General features: G+C 41.3%; 1 protein-coding gene across 6 annotated transcripts in view; it reads left to right on the top strand.

The window, feature by feature from the left end:
• The window catches only part of EIF2B3 (eukaryotic translation initiation factor 2B subunit gamma), a 136,074-nt gene that overhangs the window by 70,243 nt on the left and 43,634 nt on the right, over positions 1–22,197 (top strand). For 4 of the 6 annotated variants that reach the window (NM_001261418.2, NM_020365.5, XM_047433501.1 and 1 more), the window contains one exon: positions 18,909–18,998. The exons of the other annotated variants lie outside the window; for them this stretch is intronic. In NM_001261418.2, coding sequence (NP_001248347.1) covers positions 18,909–18,998 — 90 coding nt within the window. The remainder of the gene's footprint in view (positions 1–18,908; positions 18,999–22,197) is intronic. 6 annotated transcript variants of the gene reach the window in all.

The following is a 22,197-nucleotide window of genomic DNA, read 5'->3' as shown; positions in this document are numbered from 1 at the left end:
CTACTCCGGAGGCCAAGGTAGGAGAATTGTGTGAGCCCAGGAGGCAGAGGCTGCAGAGAGCCAAGATGATGCCACTGCACTCTAGCCTGGACAACAGAGAGAGACCCTGTCTCAAAATTAAAATAAAATAAAATGCCAAGAATTGAGTCAAAATAAAGAATATGGTAATAGAGAAACCATGTTCATTAACATTTAGCCCATTTATATGTAGAACTGACACACAACAACTATAGGAATTATGGTTGCAGAATGTAATTTAAATATCTTGAACCTGGACAACATAAAAATATAACTGCCAAAAATCAAGAGATAAAAGTGTGGGAAGAAAAAACATTGCTAGATATTAATAACATCATCTTTCATAGTAGGAAGTTAGAAAACATTAACAGACCTAAAAAAACCATAATAATTTCAACCTCTTAATATTTTGTTCTTAAAATCTGTTTTTAGGCACAAGATCTTCTAAGAAATAGTATCTTTAATGGTGAAGATATATTAAGTTTACTATTTCCTTCATTTTTACTTTTTCTTTTTTCTTTTGTTAAATACCAGTAAAATTGAATAGTCATTTTTATATTAAAAATAAAATTTTTAAAATAGCATTTTGTTTTTTATAACAGTACATCTATTTGTATATGTACATAAAGAAATGTCTATAATGATTGTTATTCCTGGGTAATAAGAATTAAAGCCAGGCACAGTGGCTCACTCCTGTAATCCCAGCACTTTGGGAGACCTAGGCTGGAGAATCACTTTAGCCCAGGATTTCAAGAGCAGCCTGGGCAACATAGCAGGACCTCATCTCTATAAATATTTTTTTTTAATTCGCTGGGCATGGCAGCACATGTCTTTAATCCCAGCTGCTTAGGTGGCTGAGACAGGAGGATTGCTTGAGCCTGGGAGGCCAAGGCTGCAGTGAACTTTCATCATTCTTGAGAGGAATTACCGGGGAGTTCGAGGCTGCAGTGCGTTGTGATCATGCCATTGCATTCCAGCCTAGATGACAGAACGAGACCCTATCTCAAAAAATAATAATAATAATTTTTTTTTTTTGAGACAGGGTCTCACTCTGTCACCCAGACTGGAGTGCAGCGGCACAATCTCTGCTTGCTGCAATCTCCGCCTCCCAGGCTCAAGCAATTCTCCTGCCTCAGCCTCCCAAGTAGGTGGGATTACAGGCATGTGCCACTACCACTCAGCTAATTTTTGTATTTTAAGTAGAGACAGGGTTTCACCATGTTGGCCAGGCTGGTCTTGAACTGCTGACCTCAAATGATCTACCTGCCTCGGCCTCCCAAAGTGCTGGGATTACAGGTGTGAGCCACCACGCCTGACCAAAAAATAAAATAAAATTTAAAATAATGGGCGGGGCATGGTGGCTCACACCTGTAATCCCAGCACTTTGGGAGGCCGAAGTGGGCGGATCACAAGGTCAGGAGTTCGAGACCATCCTGGCTAACACGGTTGAAACCGCATCTCTACTAAAAATACAAAAAATTAGCTGGGCGTGGTGGCGGGAACTTGTAGTCCCAGCCACTTGGGAGGCTGAGGCAGGAGAATGTCGTGAAACAGGGTGGCGGAGCTAGCAGTGAGCCAAGACCGTGCTACTGCACTCCGGCCTGGGTGACAGAGCGAGACTCCGTCTCAAAAAAGGAAGGAAGGGAGGGAGGGAAGAAAGGAAGGAAGGAAGGAAGGAGAATTTTTTAAACTCTTAGTAATTCTCTAAAATCCTTGAATTCTGTAAAATAAGTACATCTTTTTTCATAAAATAAATGTGATGTTTCTTTTTTAAAAACAACATTTATGCTGAGATAGTAACAATTCTGGAATGTGGAAGTATTGATGATTATTATTTTTTTCTTTGTACTTTTCTGTATTTTAAAAAATTTTCTGGCTGGGCACAGTGGCTCACGCCTATAATCCCAACACTTTGAGAGGCCGAGGTGGACGGATCACCTGAGGTAAGGAATTTGAGACCAGCCTGGCTAACACAGTGAAACCCATTTCTACTAAAAATACAAAAAATTACCCAGGCATGGTGGCGCACACCTGTAATCCCAGCTACTTGGGAGGCTGAGGCAGGAGAATCACTTGAACCTGGGAGGCGGAGGTTGCAGTGAGCCAAGATCACGCCATTGCATTCCAGCTTGGGCAACAAGAGTGGAACTCTGCCTCAAAAAAAAAAAAAAAAATTCCCAATTTAAAAAGTTTTAAAAGCAAGTAAGGCTGGGTGCGGTGGCTCACACCACTAATGTCCACTTTGAGAGACCAAGGCAAGAGAATAACTTGAGGCCAGGAGTTTGAGACCAGCCTGGGCAACATCCTGAGACTACATCTCTACAAAAAGTTTTTGAAAAAATTACCTGGGCATGTTGACGCGTGCCTGTAGTCCCAGCTACTTGGGAGGCTGAGGCTGCAGAATCACTTGAACCCGGGAGGCGGAGGTTGCAGTGAGCCGAGATTGTGCCATTGCACTCCAGCTTGGACAACAAGAGTGAAACTCCATCTAAAAAAAAAAAAATTCCCAATTTAAAAAGTTTTAAAAGCAAGTAAGGCTGGGTGCGGTGGCTCACACCTCTAATGTCCACTTTGGGAGACAGAGGCAAGAGGATCACTTGAGGCCAGGAGTTTGAGACCAGCCTGGGCAACATCCTGTGACCCCCATCTCAGTTTTTGAAGAAATACCTGGGCATGGTGACGCGTGCCTGTAGTCCCAGCTACTTGGGAGGCGGAGACGGGAAGATCCCTTGCACTCAGGAGTTTGAGGCTACAGTGAACTTTTTTCATGCCACTGAACTCTAGCCTGGGTGACAGAGTGAGACCCTATCTGTACAAGATTTTTTTTTTTTTTCCATTAAAACAGGCAACAGGGCCATCTAACTGGCAGGCTGTAGTTTGCTGACCCCACTCGGATTCTTTTTTTTCTCCATAAAGAATATCTGTGACAGAGCCTTGTGAGCACAGCTTGTTTCTTACAGTGGTCAGGATATAGCTGACTAGCTCTGGAATTCTGCGAAGAAAGAAGTAAGGGTTTTGTTTTGGATTTTTTTTTCCTAAATCCATTTATCAAAATAAAAACGTAGGAAGCAGAGGGAGTTTTTTTGTATTTCAGAAAAGCTCGCCACAAGATGCAATTAAACAATATCTCTTAATGTATTAAAAAATATGATCTTATTTGTAGCTATTAGGTTGGTGCAAAAGTAGTTGCGGTTTTTGCCTTTTTTTTTTTTTTTTTTTTTTTTTAACAAAAACCGCAATTGCTTTTGCACCAATGTAATATTTCTAGAATTACGAACTGCCACAGCTGGAAGGTCATTTAGTTAGTCTAGTCTTCTATATTTCAGGCAATGATTCTGAAAGCAAGGAAGAAGGGGTTTTGTTCAATGTATCTAGTTAGGGACAGAACTAGTCCTTATTCATGAGGACATTCTACTTTCAGGAACACATCCTTCAAATCTGGTCAAACCACTGTTTTGGTATTTAAGGCAGAAGACTTTTTCCTTGAGGCAGGGGACTTTATCTCAAATAGCTCATCAGCCTTGGTGGAAGATTCAATTATGCATGGAAAAGGTTAACAAACAATAGCAAGGGATATCAGATACTGAACAGTTATGTCCAACAGACAGTGTTCTAAGAATTCAAAGGAGGTATCTAATCCTAGGCGCTGAGGTGGTCAGGGAAACAGAATAGAATAATTCAGACTTGAAGGATTGATTTGGTCCGGATATGGAAAGGGACATGGGAAGCCAGCTGAATCCTATATGCCGAGAATGCCACGAGCAAAGGTGGGGAAGGACAGTTTGACCTGAATGGAAGGTTCATGTTGGGAAACTTGAGGAGATAAGGCTGAGATGTTAAGTTGGTCTAAAAATAGAGAGCCTTGAATACCAGGGAATTATTAAAAACTTTTGAGGAAGGAAATGATTATTCAAATATAGGATTCTGAAAAAAAATAATCTGACAGAAGTATGTAGGATAGATTTAAGGTATATAAGACTTGAAAAGTATCACAGTGTTGGATTGCTAAATTCAAGACTCTCAAGGAATTCTGTCCTTTGGAATACAGAAAGGAAAACTAATTGTGATTAGCAATTATTATGTGAAATGAGGGTCCTGACTCACATGCATCCATCAAGCACTGATGTTTATGCTTTGTTCTGTATTAGAGATAGCAGCCCTAGACATTAAGTTCTTAAAAGCACTATTCACAATAGCAAAGACTTGGAACCAACCCAAATGTCCAACAATGATAGACTGGATTAAGAAAATGTGGCACATATACACCATGGAATACTATGCAGCCATAAAAAATGATGAGTTCATGTCCTTTGTAGGGACATGGATGAAATTGGAAATCATCATTCTCAGTAAACTATCGCAAGAACAAAAAACCAAACACCGCATGTTCTCACTCATAGGTGGGAATTGAACAATGAGAACACATGGACACAGGAAGGGGAACATCACACTCTGGGGACTGTTGTGGGTTGGGGGAGGGGGGAGGGATAGCATTGGGAGATATACCTAATGCTAGATGACGAGTTAGTGGGTGCAGCGCACCAGCATGGCACATGTATACATATGTAACTAACCTGCACATTGTGCACATGTACCCTAAAACTTAAAGTATAATAAAAAAACAAAACAAAACAAAACAAACAAACAAAAAAGCAAGACTCATACGTTTCTCTGGTTACAACTAAAGGGTGGGTGGAGGTTGTTTTCTGTTTTCTTTTTAACCTCTGTGGGAACTAGTTTATGGCTCCATACAATGGAGTGTTAGTAACTGCCTTAATTGTAATTACATTTGACAATGAGAGCAAGGCTTGGGCATGATGGGAGCAAAGAAGATGGACCTAGTCAGAGGTGAGGTGATAATGAAGAGCAGGTGGATGTGTCTTTTTCCTTCATAGATGTCAAGCTCAGGGCCTTGACTAAGCACTGGGGTCATTGAGAGCAGATCTTCTATCAGTTTCCTAAGACTAGGCTGCATTTTTAGTTGTTGGCAGATTTTTTTCCTTGTTCTTCTGATTTATAATCCACACCCCAGTGATTCAGGATCTTTGGTGTGTAGTTATAAAAGGGTTGCAGGCTGGATAAATATGCATAAAAATATTCTCTCATTCCTATGACCCTCTGGGGTGTTGTGCTCCTCCTGCCTCAAGTGAGATGCTGGTTAAAAGCTAATTAGATTCAGATTTTCAAGCACTTTCTGATTATGAGAATACAGTACTTCCTTCTGTTTTTATCTTTTTTAAAACGCTGAATTTCCAAAGATGGAGGTTAGCTCCTAGTGAGCAAACACCAGTTATCTTGGATACGGCCTTCATGTATATAGGAAAATCAGAAACTTCTTGTAAAGTTTTTTTAACTTTTGTAAATTGGGTTCAGTCTATACTGCTCAGGAGATGGGTGCGCCAAAATCTCAGATTACCACTGAAGAACTTACTCATGTAACCAAATACCACCTGTTCCCCCAAAACCTATGGAAAAAAAATTTAAAAAAGAAAGAGAGAGAGAAAAGGACAATGACAGAATGTACATCCCATCAGTTTTCTCTTTCTGAGAGAGAGGCTGGGTGTGGTGGCTCACACCTGTAATCCCAGCACTTTAGGAGGCTGAGGTGGAAGGATTGCTTGAGCCCAGAAGTTTCAGACCAGCCTGGGCAACATAGCAAGACCCATTTCTCTCTTTTAAAAAAAAAAAAAAAAAAAAAAAAAAGCATTACTTGGGGGGGTGGGGAGGGATAAAATGTTTGCTTGATTTCAAAGACACCTGTTAGAATATGGTCAGGTGCAGAGGCAGCCTCCCCAGCAAGCTAGTCATCAGTCAGTACTAGTAACTTTACCTCAAAGGGCCCAGATTCTTATGACCTTGTTGGATTTAAACAAAGCACAACACCTTTCCTACATGTCTGATTGTTGCATTTCTGACTTGGAGAGGCATTACATGTAGTAGGAAAGAATGTTCTGGTAGAAGGAGCTTGTTACTGAAAATTCAGGTTCAGAGAATTTGCAGTCTAGTCTGGAGACAAACCAGCTGTGTGACCTTGAGCAAATAACTTTATTTTTCTAAGCCTCAGTTTCCCCCAGCTGAAATTGGCTTAGTTGGTCTTTAAAGAAACCCCCCTCCAGCTCTAAAATTCCTGCTTTATTTCTGACAGACATATGTTTTTAATAGTTCATAAGTAAAAGATATTTGTGCCAAATATTTAATAAGAAAATCATGTAGCTTTTCCCCAATGTTACATTGTTTTCTTTTGAATAGTTGTCAAGCTTTTTTACTGGAAGAGTAATGAAAATATTAAAACAAGCTCCTAAAGGATATCTTTAAAATGGAATAAAATGTTCACAAGGTCATCTTGGAAGGTTTAGACATCTATATCTGGGGAGTCAAGGACTTCAGTCAAGACCTCAAAGATCATGGCCAGATCTGTATTTCTGGGACTACAGATGATGAGAAATGGTTTAAACCCTTGATTATTTTCCCAATGGTGTGGGAGTCTTGAAATACTATTTATGTAAGTTAGTACCTCTGCTGCTCCTAACCAGCCCTAATTCCCAAAATACCTCTCTTAATTTGCAGTTTGGGATGGGGGCAGGTACAGAAGGGAAGAAGGGCTTGTGGAAGTTAGGATCACAAACCTTTCCCAAGGTATCTTGTCCAGTGTATTCTTACTCTTTTGTACTTTTAATTTACTTCTATAAAATGATATGGCTGTAAGATAACCCATGTCAATATCTTTAAGTCTTTGCTTTGGAGCTGGCCATATAGACTTCAGAGAAAAATCTTCCAATCTCCTGCCTGGGTGGGTAAAAGCTGTGCTGCCAATTCCTGATCATTTCAGGGCTCCTGAGATACAAATCAAGCTGCTTCTTAGCTTTCCTTATAGATGGTTTAGGATTCACCTTTCTTGGATATGCTAAATCTGTTACCACCACCATCCTTTTGTTTTCCAGCTTCCAAAATTTTGTTGTCATCTCTTCTTGTGGTCTTTGTCCTTGTGGGTTTATGTCTTTAAAAAAAAAAAAAATCTGTACTGACACTTCAGTGAGTTTTCAGAAAGAGGATGGGTTAACGCTTATGTTTAATCTGCCATCTTTACCCAGAATCCTGTTTCCTTATTTCAGCCTCAAATCTTTCTAGTCCCTTACTACCACCACTCCTACCCTCTCTTTTTTCTCTCCCTCTCTCTCTCTTTTCCCCCCTCATTTCCTTCTTCATCCAATCTAGGTCCTGTGCCTTCAGGCATTTCTCTCCAAGTCCAAAGTCTTTAGGAGAAATATTATGCACGGATATAAATTGGCAGCACTATAAATTCATGGCTCCTATCTTAGCTGAACCCTCAGAACCACTCTTCATTCTTCCATTTGTCCTGGGCCAGCTTTCCACTCCTCTCAGAAGCTGTTCTCTACCATCACCATTCTCCTGTCAAAACATGGGCCTGCTGATTTCCCCAGCTACCCCATCCATGACTTTGCCTTTATTCAGACCCACCTTCGATTCCTTTCCTCCAGCATTAGAAGAAGTTTGGGGCCAGTCCCTTCATTTATGCCTTTTACCCCCTTTCTTCTGCCACTCCTGGAACCTTTTCTCCATTAGTTTTTTCAACATTCTCCAGAATTTTCAACTTTGCTTTCCACTATCTCTTTATCCCAAATCTATAAATACATTGCTTGTAGAATAAAGCACACATTCCTAAAGCCCTCAGTTATCTAATCATGCTTACCCCTCCAGCCTTATATCTCATCTTTCTCTAACACAACCCCATTCTCAACATTCTATCAGTAGCTATGAAAAATTGCTTATAGTTCTGTTAACTTCTGCATTCCTTGTAATGTCTTTGTCCTTTTACTTTTCACCGTTCCTGGTAATCCTTCAGCCAAAGTTACTCTTCTCTCCCTGGCTAAGAACTTATTTTTCTTTCAAGACTCAGCTCAAATATCATTTTTCTGTGAAGATTTTTCTAATCTTTCCTGTCATAGGCAGAACCGTGCTTCTTCCTTTGTGCTCCCCTATATACTGAAGAAAGTTCTGTGGTAACATTTATAACCCTGTATTGCTCTGGACTATAAGTTACATAAGGATAGTGGTTGTATTTTGTCTTTGTAGGCCTAAGGTCTAATACATGGCCTGACATAGTAGGATCCCAGTAAATTTGTTGGAAGAGGACATTAATGGAGCCAGAGTGTCACCTTGTGTTTGAATGTGCTTTGGCAACAGAGTCTTTATAGGCAGAGCTGAGACTTCTTAATCTTGTGAATTGGAGAAAGGGCTGGAACAGCATTATTTGCACCACATTCTTCAGATCAAAGCAGTCATAAGCCCAGCCCAGAGTCATGAGATGCAAAATAGACTCTACCTCATGATGGGAGGAGCTGCAAAGTTACTTTACAAAAGGATATGAGTACAGAGAGGGGAATAATTGTGGCCATCTTTTTTTTTTTTTTTTTTTTTTTTTTGAGATGGAGTTTCGCTCTTGTTGCCCAGACTGGAGTGCAATGGCGTGATCTCGGCTCACTGCAACCTCCACCTCCTGGGTTCAAGCGATTCTCCTGCCTTAGCCACCGAGTAGCTGGCATGCACCACCATGCCCGGCTAATTTTGTATTTTTAATAGAGACAGGGTTTCTCCATGTTGGTCAGGCTGGTCTTGAACTCCTGACCTCAGGTGATCCCCCCACCTCAGCCTCCCAAAGTGCTGGGATTACAGGCATGAGCCACCGTGCCCGGCTGTGACCATTTTTAAAACAATCTACTGTAGTCCCAACTACCAAAGCATTTTTTGTTTGTTTTTGAGAAGGAGTTTTGCTCTGTCGCCAGGCTGGAGTGCAATGGCACGATCTTGGCTCACTGCCACCTCTGACTTCCTGGTTCAAGCAATTCTCCTGCCTCAGCTTCCCAAGTAGCTGGGATTACAGGCACGCCCCACCACGCCCAGCTAATTTTTGTATTTTTAGTAGAAATGAGGTTTCACCATGTTGGCCAGGATGGTCTCCATCCCCTGACCTCGTGATCCACCCACCTCGGCCACCCAAAGTGCTGGGAGTACAGGCATGAGCCACCGCGCCCAGCCACTACCAAAGCATTTTAAGCAGGGAATGACACAATCAAATTTGCCTTCGAAAGATAACTCTGGATACAATATGGAGAAAGGATTGGAGTTGGGTAAGAGAGGATGCAGAGAGACCAAGTAAGGGAAGGTATTGTAGTAATCCAGGTAAGAAGTAATGGTAATTTGAACTAGGGTATTGACAGTGGAGTTGGAGAAAAGTAGATAAGTTAGAGAAGGATTTAGCAGGTAAAATCTGAGGACTTGGTGTTTGAACCTTGGGGTTGAGAAGTGTAGTGGTGTCAAAAAAGACTCACATTTCAGGTTTGAGCAGCAGGATAATAATCAGATAGGAAGCACTGGGTTTGTGGCAGGGAGATCCGAAGTTCATTTGGGGATCCAGGTAAACAGGAGTAAGTCATATATAGACTCGGTGTTCAGAGGATAGGACTATGCTTCAGATATAAATTTGTAAGCATTAATATATAGATGTCAACTTAGTGTCTTGTACATACCTGGTACTTAGGAGAAAGTTATTTGCCCAGCTGTTGAACCTCAAGGGTGGGGAATGTCTGAGCTAGGTTGTTTCATAATATCTTTTATCCCGGGCACGGTGGCTCATGCCTGTAATCCCAGCACTTTGGGAGGCCGAGGTGGGCGGATCACCTGAGGTCAGGAGTTCAAGACCAGCCTGACCAACATAATGAAACCCTGTCTCTACTAAATACAAAAAATGAGCCGGGTATGGTGGCGCATGCCTGTAATCCCAGCTACTCGGGAGGCTGAGGCAGGAGAATCGCTTGAACCTGAGAGGCGGAGGTTGCAGTGAGTCGAGATCGTGCCACTGCACTCCAGCCTGGGCAACAAGAGTGAAACTCTGTCTAATTTAGTATAACTCTAGCCATGCAGAAGCTGAAACAAAGCTTTGAGGCATGAACTCCTGAGTGATCCTTCACTGAACCTTTGCCGTGACCATCTCCTACACAACCAGCTTGGAACCAGGCCTGAAGACAGTAGGAATATTGCTTGTGTACTTGGGATAATTCTGGTCAAGGCTGTCACAAGGCCAGCCTAGATTCATGAGACGAGAAAATAGACTCTACCTCATGATGGGCATGACCTGCTGAAATGTCATATTAGCTAGACCAGTGAGACTAGAGTGGAGTGCAAATTAATGTGTCAGTTTTCCCCACCCAGAGTTGTATGGGCCAGACAGCTTAGAAGGATAGCTTGAAAGATGTAACACTCTTGGGCTTATCTTTGAGTAGAAGCTTCTTGTCAGTGGTGCTGTGCAGAATGCTTTCTTGAGCACCTCTTGGGGAGTGAGATGCTTCTAGATCTCAGCAGGTTCTGGCACGCTGAGTTGAGATGGGTGAGGGTGAACAGCAGTGTGATTCTGCCTAGGAAGGCTTTGCTAATTCCTGTGTTACTTATTAGACATGTGGCTCTCATTAGTCTGTGTGATGGTTAGTTTTATGTATCAATTTTGCTAGTCTGTAGTACCTATTTATTCCATCAAACACTAATCTAGGTGTTGTTATGAAGGTATTTTTGTATGTAATTAATATCAACAATCCATTGATTTTAAGTAAGAGAGATTATCTTGGCTAATCTGGGTGGGCCTCATCCAATTAGTTGATAGGCCTTTAAATCTAATCAGATCAGAGAACCAATTCCAAATAACACAGAACAAGTTCAGCAAACCCATCTTTAAGATTTTTTTTTTTCCAGGACCACTTCTAGTAGCAATTTTTATATCAGAGAAACAGAAATGCTGTGAGTCATAGAGAATAAAGGATTTATTACACAATTACGGAAGCTCGTAGAGTAGTGTATGTATGCTGTTGTTTCTGTGTCTAGTGTTGAGCCTGAAATCACTATCAGTCAGCCAGACCATCAGTCAGAAAGGAAAGCTGGATCTGGACAAGAACAAGAACAAACCCACAAGGTCACCTAAAAACTGGACCTGGAGCAGAACTTGGAACTCTTAAGAATCCTTCCACTGTTGGCAGTCTCTGCTGCTTTGAGTCCAGGGTTTTCACCTCAACACAACTGCTTTTTTTGGAGAGGGCCTGAGCACCTCAGGGCTATGGTGTCATAGCCTACCCTGCTGAACAGGCAGACCTCTAGTTTGATAACTCCATATGCACTCCTAACAATCGAGAATCTGTTATTCCTACCACTTACAGTGTGACCAAGATCAGGCATTGGGATGGTATGGTTAGTGCCTTCCTATGTAGCAAATACCAGATAGCCACACCACAGGTGCTTGCCCCAGCACCTCTTGTTAAAATTATAGGTAGCTAGTAAGTAGTAGCCATAGGTCATTCCCTTTTCCCTAGTTCTGAGAAAACTTGATTATTTCAAGCATATCTTGGTCTCTAGTTTCTTCTAAATTGCAGTGATTAGGGAGTAGTGAATTAGCTCTGATTCTTTTAGCGGGAGAGAAGATGCTTCTTTGTTGGAATATGTTTAAGATTGCCAAATCTGGCTGGACATGGTGGCTCATGCCTGTAATCCCAGCACTTTGGGAGGCCGAGGTGGGCAGATCACGAGGTCAGGAGATCGAGACCATCCTGGCTAACACGGTGAAACCCCATCTCTACTAAAAATACAAAAAATTAGCCGGGCACGGTGGCAGGCACCTGTAGTTCCAGCTACTCAGGAGGCTGAGGCAGGAGAATGGCATGAACCCAGGAGGCAGAGCTTGCAGTGAGCCGAGATTGTGCCACTGCACTCCAGCCTGGGCAACAGAACGAGACTCCGTCTCAAAAAAAAAAAGATTGCCAAATAAAGTAGAAGGTGATTATCTGAAGGTCTTCAAATAGAGGAGTTGTTTATGTTGCTGCATTGAACACTGCAAGATAGTTAAGTTACTGTAGGAGGCTTTTATCCTCATCTGAATTGTTATCTCTGGTTTTATGAATAACTGTTTCAAGCTCCAGTTCCACTGGCATCTGAATTCAGAAGCCATCCATGACACTTCCTTCTCTGTTAACATTCATATTCATGCAAAGAGAAGCCTGTGATAAAATTAATTTTCTCTTGTATTTGACTTTTTTTTGTGCAACTGGGTTTTCTTCATTCTGTTCTCACCCAATACCATTCTCTGGTCCCCAAACTTTGAACTTAGCTTGGTTAGGAAAAAGTCATTCTGTGCAGCCATATAAGCTGGCAGGACACACTCAGTTTTTTGGGTTTTTTTGTTTGTTTGTTTTGTTTTTTTGAGATGGAGTCTGCCCTGTCTCCCAGGCTGGAGTGCAGTGGCATGATCTCAGCTCATTGCAACCTCCACCTCCCGGGTTCAAGCGATTCTCCTGCCTTGGCCTCCTGAGTAGCTGAGATTACAGGTGTGTGCTACCACACCTGGCTAATTTTTTTTGTAGTTTTAGTAGAGATGGGGTTTTGCCATGTTGGCCAGGCTGGTCTCGAACTCCTGACCTCAGGTGATCCATCCATGTCAGCCTCCCAAAGTGCTGGGATTATGGCATGAGCCACCACACCTAGCCAACACACTCAGTTTAAATTAATGATGGCTTTCCTTTCTCACTGAGTAACTGTGGACTATATCAACATGCATACCAGTTCTCCCACTAGGCTAGAAATTCTTACGGTCTCATTCACAGCAATGCTGAAAATCTAAATGTGTTCACACAGGGTGTCTAGATGAATTTCAGTTTTTAAACATGCAGCTACTATAAACTGCTTCTTTGCCTGTCAGCTCTTTTCTACCCACCCTTCTAGGAACTAAGCATTGTACAATGAGCATATTGGGGAATAGAACTCCCAGTTGGCTTCTGCTGTACTTAGGCAGTGAGCAGGATAAAAACAACTCAGTTCCTCCCACACACATGATGATGCTGGGAATGGGGAAGAAGGGAGCAGACTTCAAGAACATTTGGCATTGCCCTGAGCCTGGGGACCTTTGTAGATTTGAAGGGAATGAGGATCTGAAAATCCCTGGAGATCTTTTGGGGGAAAATTAAAGATCTTGTTGTTAACTAAAGACCTTTTTTTAGAGTCACTAAGAGCTTTGGACATGTAAAGTACTAATTTTGTCTTTCATGGACATATTTCCTTCTTTCAAGGCTGCCTTTCAGAACTGCTTTTTTTATTCCCTAGCTCTATCGTTCACAGATGTTTTGTACAGTGTTCATGGTACATATATCTTTGTGTTCAGCTTTCTTTAAATTAAAGCAAATCTCAGAAAAGTTCAAAGTATGCAGTCCTGCATAATCTCATAGACCAGTAGCTGTGTGTTAGTCTTTCTTACAGCTTCCCTAGAAATCCTAAAGCTTTGCCCCTGACATACAGTATGTGTTGTTAATATTTGGAACAAACTTGGGTAAATAAATATTGAAACACGGGTACAGCTTGGTTCTTGAACTACTCGAAATTTAAAAGTAATCTGCCCAAAGCAGGCAGCCGCTTCTTTGGGAGCTTTCTTTTTTTTTTTTTTTTTTTTTTTTTTTAAAGAAAGAGTCTCTTTTCTGTTGCCCAGGCTGGAGTGCAGTAGCACGTTCATGGCTCGCAGCAGCCTCGAGCTCCTGGGCTCAAACAGTCCTCCCACCTGAGACACCCGAGTAGCTGGGACCACAGGCACATGCCACCATGCCTGGCTAGTTTTTCTTTCTTTATTTTTTGTGGAGACAAGGTCTCCTTATATTGCCCAGGCTGGTCTTGAACTCCTGAGCTTGAGCAGTCCTCCCACACTGGCATCCCAAAGTGTTGGGATTACATGCATGAGCCACTGTGCCTGACTGGAAACATTTCTTTCTTTCTTTTTTTCTTTTTTTTAATTATTATGAGACAGGGTCTTGCTTAGTCGCCTAGGTGCTGGGGTGCAGTAGTGCAATCATAGCTCACTGCAGCCTCGACTTCCTGGGCCCAGGTGGTCTAAGAGGGCAGCTCTCACAGATCTATAGGATTATCACAAACCCTATTAGAATCTCAGTTGGATATTTTTGCTGAAATTGACAAGTTGATCTTAAAAGTTATATGGAAATACAAAGAACACAGAATATCCAGAACAATGTTGAAAAACAACAAAAAAGTTGAAGAAATTATGCTTCCCAAGCTCAAAACTTACTATAAAGCTATGGTAGTCAAGACAAGTATGGTACTGGCATAAGGACAGACAGACAGATCTGTGGAACAGAACTAAGAGTCCAAAAATAAACCCTTAGGTTTATGGTCATTTGATTTTTACCTGAGATGTCCAGGCAACTCAACAGGAAAAGGATAGATTTTTACACAAATTGTGCTAGAACAGTTTGATCCTTACTTGCAGAAAGATTGATTTAGAACCTTACCTCACTCCATACAGAAAAAAGAAAATGGATTACAGACCTAACATGAGAGCTAAAACTGTAAGAGTTGTATAGATTTTATTTCTTAAAAATTAAAGATTTTGAACCCCAAAGACACTATTAAGAAAATGAGGGCCGGGTGCAGTGGCTCTTGCAGGTAATCCCAGCATTTTGGGAGGCCAAACCAGGTGGATTGCTTGAACCAGGAGTTCAAGACCAGCCTGGGGAACATGGCAAAACCCGTCTCTACAAAGAAAATGCAAAAAGTAGCCAGGTGTGGTGTCACGTGCCTATAGTCCCAGCTACTCAGGAGGCTGAGGAGGGAGGATCACCTGAGCCCAGGGAGGTTGAGGGGGCAGTGAGCTGTGATCACGCCACAGCACTCCAGCCTGGATGACAGAGTAAGACCCTGTCTCAAGAAAAAAAAAAAAAAAAAAAAAAAGGCCAGGCCCAGTGGCTCATGCCTGTCATCCCAGCGCTTTGGGAGTCTGAGGCAGGAGGATCGCTTGGGGCCAGGAGTTTGAGAAGAGCCTGGGCAACAAAGTGAGACCCTATCTCTATAAAAAAATCTTAAAGGGACTGGGCGCAGTGGCTCACGCCTGTAATCCCAACACTTTGGGAGGCCGAGGCGGGTGGATCACCTGAGGTCAGGAGTTTGAGACCAGCCTGGCCAACATGGCAAAACCCCATCTCTACTGAAAATACAAAAATTAGTTGGGCATGGTGGTGGGCGCTTGTAATCTCACCTCCTATGGAGGCTGAGGCAGGAGAATTGCTTAAACCTGGGAGGCAGGGGTTGCAGTGAGCCGAGATCACGCCATTCCACTCCAGCCTGGGCAACAAGAGCAAAACTCCGTCTCAAAAAAAAAAAATTTTTTTTTCAATTAGCCAGGCATGGCACGAACCTGTAGTCCCACCTCTTTGGGAAACTGAGGCATTAGGATCACTTGAGCCCAGGAGTTCTAGGCTGCAGTTTTGATCATGCCTGGGTGATGGAGCGAAACCCTGTCTCTGAGAAAAGAAAGAAAATAAGGAAATGAAAAGATAAGAACTCTTCCAACTCAAAAAAATCACTAACAGCCTAATTTCAAAATAGGCAAAAGACTTGAATGAACATTTCACCAAAGAAAATACACAAATGGCTAACAAGCACATGAAAAGATCCTCAACATCATGTCATAGGGAAATGCAGACCAAAACTTTGATGATACTGCTTCACACCCATTAGAATGGCTGCAGTTTTTTTTAAGTGACAGAAAAAGCAAATCTATAAATCTATAGAGACAGGAGGCAGATTAATGATTGCCTGAGATGTGATAAGAAAGGGGATTGGTTTTTTTTAAATTATTATTTCAACTGTTATTTAGATGTGCAAGTATGTTACATGGTATATTGTGTGATGGTGAGATTTGGGTGCGATTGAACCCATCACCCAGGTAGTGAGCATAGAACAAAACAGGTATTTTTTCAACTCTTGCTCTCCTCCCTCCCCCTGGTTGTGTATCCTTGTTGTCTGTTGTTCCCTTTTTTTTTTTTTTTTTTTTTTTGAGATGATTCTCGCTCTGTTGCCCAGGCTGGAGTGCAGTGGCATGTTATCAGCTAACTGCAACCTCTACCTCCCGGGTGCAAGCAATTATCCTGCCTCACCCTCCTGAGTAGCTGGGATTACAGGTATCCGCCAGCACACCCAGCTAATTTTTGTATTGTTAGTAGAGATGGGGTTTCACTGCGTTGGCCAGACTGTTCTCAAACTCCTAACCTCAAGTGATCCACCCACCTTGGCTTCCCAAAGTGCTGGGATTACAGGTGTGAGCCACTGTTCCCAGACTTTTGTTCCCATCTTAATGTCCATGTGTATTCAGTGTTTAGCTCCCACTTATAAGTGAGACCATGTAATATCTGGTTTTCTGTTTCTACATTACTTTGCTTAGGATAGTGGCCTCCAGCTGCATCCATGTTGCTGCAAAGGACATGATTTTGTTCTTTTTTATAGCTGCATAGTATTTCATGATATATATTGCACTACATTTTCTTTATCCAGTCCACTGTTGATGGGCACCTAGGTTGAATCCATGTCTTTGCTATTGTGACTAGTACTGTGATGAACATGCAAGTACACTTGTCTTTTTGGTAGAACAATTTCTTTTCCTTTGGATATATACCCAGTAATGGATTGCTGGTTGAGAGGTAGTTCTAGTTTTAGTTCTTTGAAATATCTCCAAACTGCTTTCCACAGTGGCTGAACTAGTTTACATTCCCACCAACAGTATATAAACATTTCTTTTTCTCCACAGTCTCACCGGCATCTGTTGTTGTTGTTGTTGTTTGACTTTTTAATAGTAGCCATTCTGACTGGCATGAGGTGGTATCTCATTGTGGCTTTGATTCATATTTCTCTGATGATTAGTGATATTGAGCATTTCTTCATGTGTTTGTTGTCTGCCTGTATGTCTTCTTTTGAGAAGTGTCTGTTTATGTCCTTTGCCCACCCTTTAATGGGGTTGTTTTTTGCTTGTTGATTTAAGTTCTTTATAGATGCTTGATATTACACCTTTGTCATTTGCATAGTTTGAGAATATTTCCTCCCATTTCTGTAGGTTGTCTGTTTACAGAACAGTAGTTTCTTTTGCTGTGCAGAAGCTCTTTAATCAGATGGAAAGGGGAATGTTTGATTATAAACAGTCATGTGAGATCTTATTTGAGTAAAAGAAATGTTCTGTAACTGGATTGTGGTGATAGTTTTATAGCTCTGTACATTTTCTAAAAATCATTAAATTGTATGTCTAAAACAGGTGAATTTTATGGTATGTAAATGACACTTCCATAAAGCTGTTTGTTTTGTTTCATTTTGTTTTGTTTTGTTTAAGACATAGGCTGAATGCAGTGGCTCATGCCTGTAATCCCAGCACTTTTAGAGGGCAAGATACAAGTATCGCTTGAGGCTGGGAGTTCAAGATTAGCCTAGGCAACATGGTGAAGCCCCATACAAAAATACAAAATTAGCCAGGTGTGGCAGCTTGCTCCTGTGGTCCTAGCTGCTTGGGAGGCTGAGGTAGGGGGATTGCTTGAGCTCAGGAGTTCAAGACCAGCCTGGGCAACATAGCGAGACCTTGTCTCTACCAAAAATAAAAAAAATTAGCCAGCTGTAGTGATGCATGCCTGCAGTGCCAGCTACAGGAGGCTGAGGCAGGAGGATCACTTGAGCCCAGGAGGTAGAGGCTACAGTGAGCAATCATTGTGCCACTGCACTCCAGCCTAGGCAAGTGGCTATCTCCAGTCAGAGCAAGACCCTGTCTCTAAAAGTAAACATAAAAACCTACAAGGCAGTCGAAGCCAAGCAACACAGAGTTAGAAGACAACCAGGCATCTATGACTGGAATCTTCTTTTTTTTTTTTAACCATACTCCCCTTCCCTGTGTATTTATTTTTATTAAATAGAATGACCTCAAACATTACAAGCATGGCATTTTTTACACCTAGGCAGATGCCTTAATTTGACCTCATTTATTCATTTATTTGTTTATTCAACAACTATTTATTGGACATTTACTCTGTGTCAGGCACAATGCTAAGTGCTAAGGATGTGAAGATAAATCTCTGCTCTACTGAATTTCAGTCTAGTGGGAGAGAGAGAGACAAGTAAATAGTCTATTTCTTTACTATATGTTAAGTTATCCAATAGAGGTAGATACCAAGTTTTGTGGGAGCACAAACTTCACTGTTGTCAGTGAAGGATTCCTAGAGGAAGTGTATCCTGGGGTGAGTCCTGAGGAATAAATAAGAGTAGCAAGTTAGGATTATTCATAGAATTTTACTCCATCTTCTGTGAAGATGGAGAATACATACCAAATTGTGGAGGCAAAAGAAAGCATGGCATGGTCTGAGGAAAATAGGATAATTAGGGTAGAAGCAGGAAAATGTTTGTTATAAGAATTGTGTGTAGGAATTTATAATAGAGGCCAGGTGTGGTGGCTCACACCTGTAATCCAACCACTCTGGGAGGCTGAGGTGGGTGGATCACTTGAGACCAGGAGTTCGAGACCAGCCTGGCCAACATGGTGAAACCCCATCTCTACTAAAATACAAAAATTAGCTGGGCATGGTGGTGTACAACTATAGTTTCAGCTACTCGGTAGGCTGAGGCACAAGAATTGCTTGAGCCTGGGAGACGGAGCTTGCAGTGAGCCGAGATCACGCCACTGCACTCCAGCCTAGGCAACAAAGCAAGACTGTCTCAAAAAAAAAAAAAAAAAAAGTTAACGATCAAATAGAAGAAGGTAGATTATCAGTGATATGATGTCTCACCAGATTTCTTTAGAATCGTAAAAGCCTCAGAAAGTATGCCATAGGGTTTCTAGGGAAAACACCTTTTATGTGGTAGAGTCAGGGCTGGGGTCCACTGTCCTGGTCTCCCCAGAAAGAGATGTAGGCAGCATGCCTCTGACCCTCATAAACTTACCAGTGCCTACTACCTGATAATAGAATGGAGACCATGTTACCTGATTGTGAGCCTCTTCTTTCTTTCTTTTATTTTTTATTTTTTTGCAGGCATCCTAGAATACGTTTCCACACGGGTCTTGTGGATGCCCACCTCTACTGTTTGAAAAAATACATCGTGGATTTCCTAATGGAAAATGGGTAAGAAAAAGGGTGGTAGAGTCAAACCTACAGTACTTAACAAGCTACTTTGTGAATTCCTTAAATTTTAAACCTTCATAATTTAGATAACCAGTTTCTAAAATTAGCACAATAGCACAGTTAGTTCTCATTTTTGTTTTAGAAATGAAATTATGTCATCAATATAGTGTTGTTTTATCTGTACCACAGAGTCCCCTGCTTATATTTTTGCAGCGTGTGTTATAATAAATCAGCAAAATATTTTGTAACACTTAACGGTAACCCATGATGCCTCTTTCTGCCCAGTTCCAGGCTCTTCTTCCCTCCTTTGACAGGAGTGAGCTCCACAGCCCTTATGCTGTTTGTCTCTAATTACATGTTCTCCTAGGCAGTTATCCTGTAGATGGGCCCTCTTAGCAAAGGGCTACAGACTTAACCATAGAAGAGAAAAAGGAGAGCAAGTTTCCCCCCAATTTTAGAAAAGAAGCCCACTTCAGTGAGTGCAGAGAAACAAAATTTGGCACATTTTCTGATTTTTTTGTTTGTTTGTTTTAGAACAGAATTGTAGGACTTAAATAGTTTCCAGAGATTGTGTCTGGCAGATCACCGGACTTGAGTTTTCAAAGAGAAAACCCCTTTTGCAGTTGATCTCAAGGATTTTTTATAAGAAAAGCAGCTACAGTCCTCAAAGGAACAGGTGGAAAAAGATTTAATAACTGCATGGTTAAGAATAGGAGCAGCTAGCTTCCCTTGATGACTGCTGGATAAGTTTGGAAAGTTCACCAGTGCTATCCAAGGCGGAAACTTATCTAGGTGAACAGATACCACAGTAGCAAGAGGTATCTCCGACCATCTGGAGAAAAGAATTTGAGAACCTGAGTTTAAATGCTAGCTCTGCCTTTGGCTGATGGACTTGAATATATATCGGAATATTAAGAGGAAGGAGGATTGCTCCCCTGCCCAGTATGATCTTTCTTGCAGTGTCCTACCTGTCACCCCCCCACAACACTTGCTAAGTTCCTGTGGAGAGGCCCATGTAGAGCCAATGGTAAAACAAATCATTTGGACTTTTAGAAAGCTTTCCCAAGGATTGTTATAGCTCTGTTTCCCCTACCAAGGACACAGTTGCCCTGCTCCCTTCTGACCTCTGAAAAATGTTTTCATTCCATCTACACATACTTATTAAGCACCCATTATGAGCCAGGCATTGTGCTAGATCAACCATGGGATCAATGATAAATAAACAGATATGGCCCTGCCCTCATGGAAATTACAGCCTAAGCTCATGGTGGAATGTGGAGACCTTGCTTTTTAGATAGCAGGGTAACTTGTTGCCAAGATTTAGAGGGTGATCCAAGAGCTATTTCTCAGTGACCAGTCTAAGCTGTTTGTATTCCAAAAATGAAATTAACTCTTGGCCATTGAAGGGTTTATTTTTCACTCCCAAATAAAAATGAAGCCATATGAAATGAGCCTAGGCCTTGATAGGCAGAAGAGAACACAACTGTGTTAGAAAGGATGACTTTTTAAAAAATGATTTACTATGGAAAATTTCACATAAATGCAAAAGTAAAGAAAATAATGAACTCCCATGTATCCATCACACAGTTTCAACAATTATCAACTCATTGTCAATTTTGTTTTATATATGCCACCGTTTCTCTCCCCCCATTACCCTAAATTGTTTTAAAGCAAGGCATTTTGATATAATTTCATCTGTAAATATTTTGATATAATTTCATCTGTAAATATATTTCAGCATGTATAGTTAAAATATAAGGACGCTTCCAGGATAAGGATATTTAAAATAGATATATATTTTATGTATATGTACATATATATATATAGAGAGAGAGAGAGAGAGGCTTTTTTTAAATAAATACCTTAATATCATTATCACACCTTCAAAAAACTGACAGTGCTTTCTTAATACTATCAAAGAGGATTGTGGCTTTTGGTGTCTGTATATGCAGGCAGTTTTACAGCAAACCTAGTCATCTCATCCTGGTTGTTATAGCTTATTTGTAGTTCATTTGGCCACTACCAGTTAGTTATTCCCACACCTGGCAAGTGTAACACAATGGTGTGTGTACCTTGAGGACAAGCCTGAAGTTTGTGATATGGCTATAGGTCCTGGCCAGAAGCTCTGCCAAATGGGACTTTCCCAGAACCTGCTGCAGTAGAGAATGATACAGAGCCTCAGCACATACTGTTTCCCCACCTCAAGATCTGTTTAGGAGACCCTTATCTCTTTCCTCCCCGCATCTACCTTGACCTCTCAGAGTCGCTACAATCAAAGAGCATATATTGAAAATTGATATATTTCAATATATTGGAAAAAGTAAAAAGGCACAGCAGGGCAAATTAGAATGTTACTTGAGGGACAGTCTTTACTCCTGGCTGGAATAGTGAAGGTCTTTGAAAGGTTGTGGGAGATGGGATTGAATTGGTTGGTGGTAGGTAGCAGCATGTAGAAGGTCTTGAAAGCTGAGCAGGGAGTTACAGATCTTTAAACAGAATAGTCTTACAGGAAATGAGCAATGATACAACCTGGCAAGTGAACATAAACCATTCTGCATGGGAAAGAGATTTCTTCAAGATAAGTAGGAGGCACTTATAATCATCTGGTCATCAGATGATGACTCCTTTAGGAATGGAAAGGAAAGAGTAAACCTAGGAGACACAGCTTCAAGAAAGGACTGTTGTAGCAATCCTTTGTTATATTTTACCTCTGAGAGTTAACATATTCTACCCTGTGTTATTTATGTAGAAAAGCATCATGTTTTCAATAAAGTCACACTTAGGTTTTGTTATTTGTTTACATGTTAACATTTTCCACTCAAATTCTTTGAGAATGGATATCTACCTGGATTTGTAAGGCATTCATTATATACTTGGTGAATGAGGGAAAGGAGATGTAGTGACAGATAACAGAAGCAGTTTAGTATTAATACATTAATAGTGGAAGAAGAGAGGTGGGTTTCTACAGTTGACCAAGCAGAAAAGCTACAGGGAGAGCTGCAGAGAGAAGAAAATCTGTACTCTCTTTGATGAGAATTTAGTAACTGTACACATTTTACAAGTTTTTTATCCACTTCTGAGTGTAGTATGATAGATGAATGTTCCACAGAATCTCTTGAACATTTTAATTCAAAATGTGTTGGATTCTGTGTCCAGGGCCAAAGCAGATCTTAGTCTGAGTATTGTGACTGTGATTCCT

Source organism: Homo sapiens, chromosome 1 (genome assembly GCF_000001405.40).
Source record: "Homo sapiens chromosome 1, GRCh38.p14 Primary Assembly".
Taxonomy (NCBI): Eukaryota; Metazoa; Chordata; class Mammalia; order Primates; family Hominidae; genus Homo; species Homo sapiens.
The sequence above is the reverse complement of the archived record's forward strand: the minus strand, read 5'-3'. Positions and strand labels throughout refer to the sequence as shown.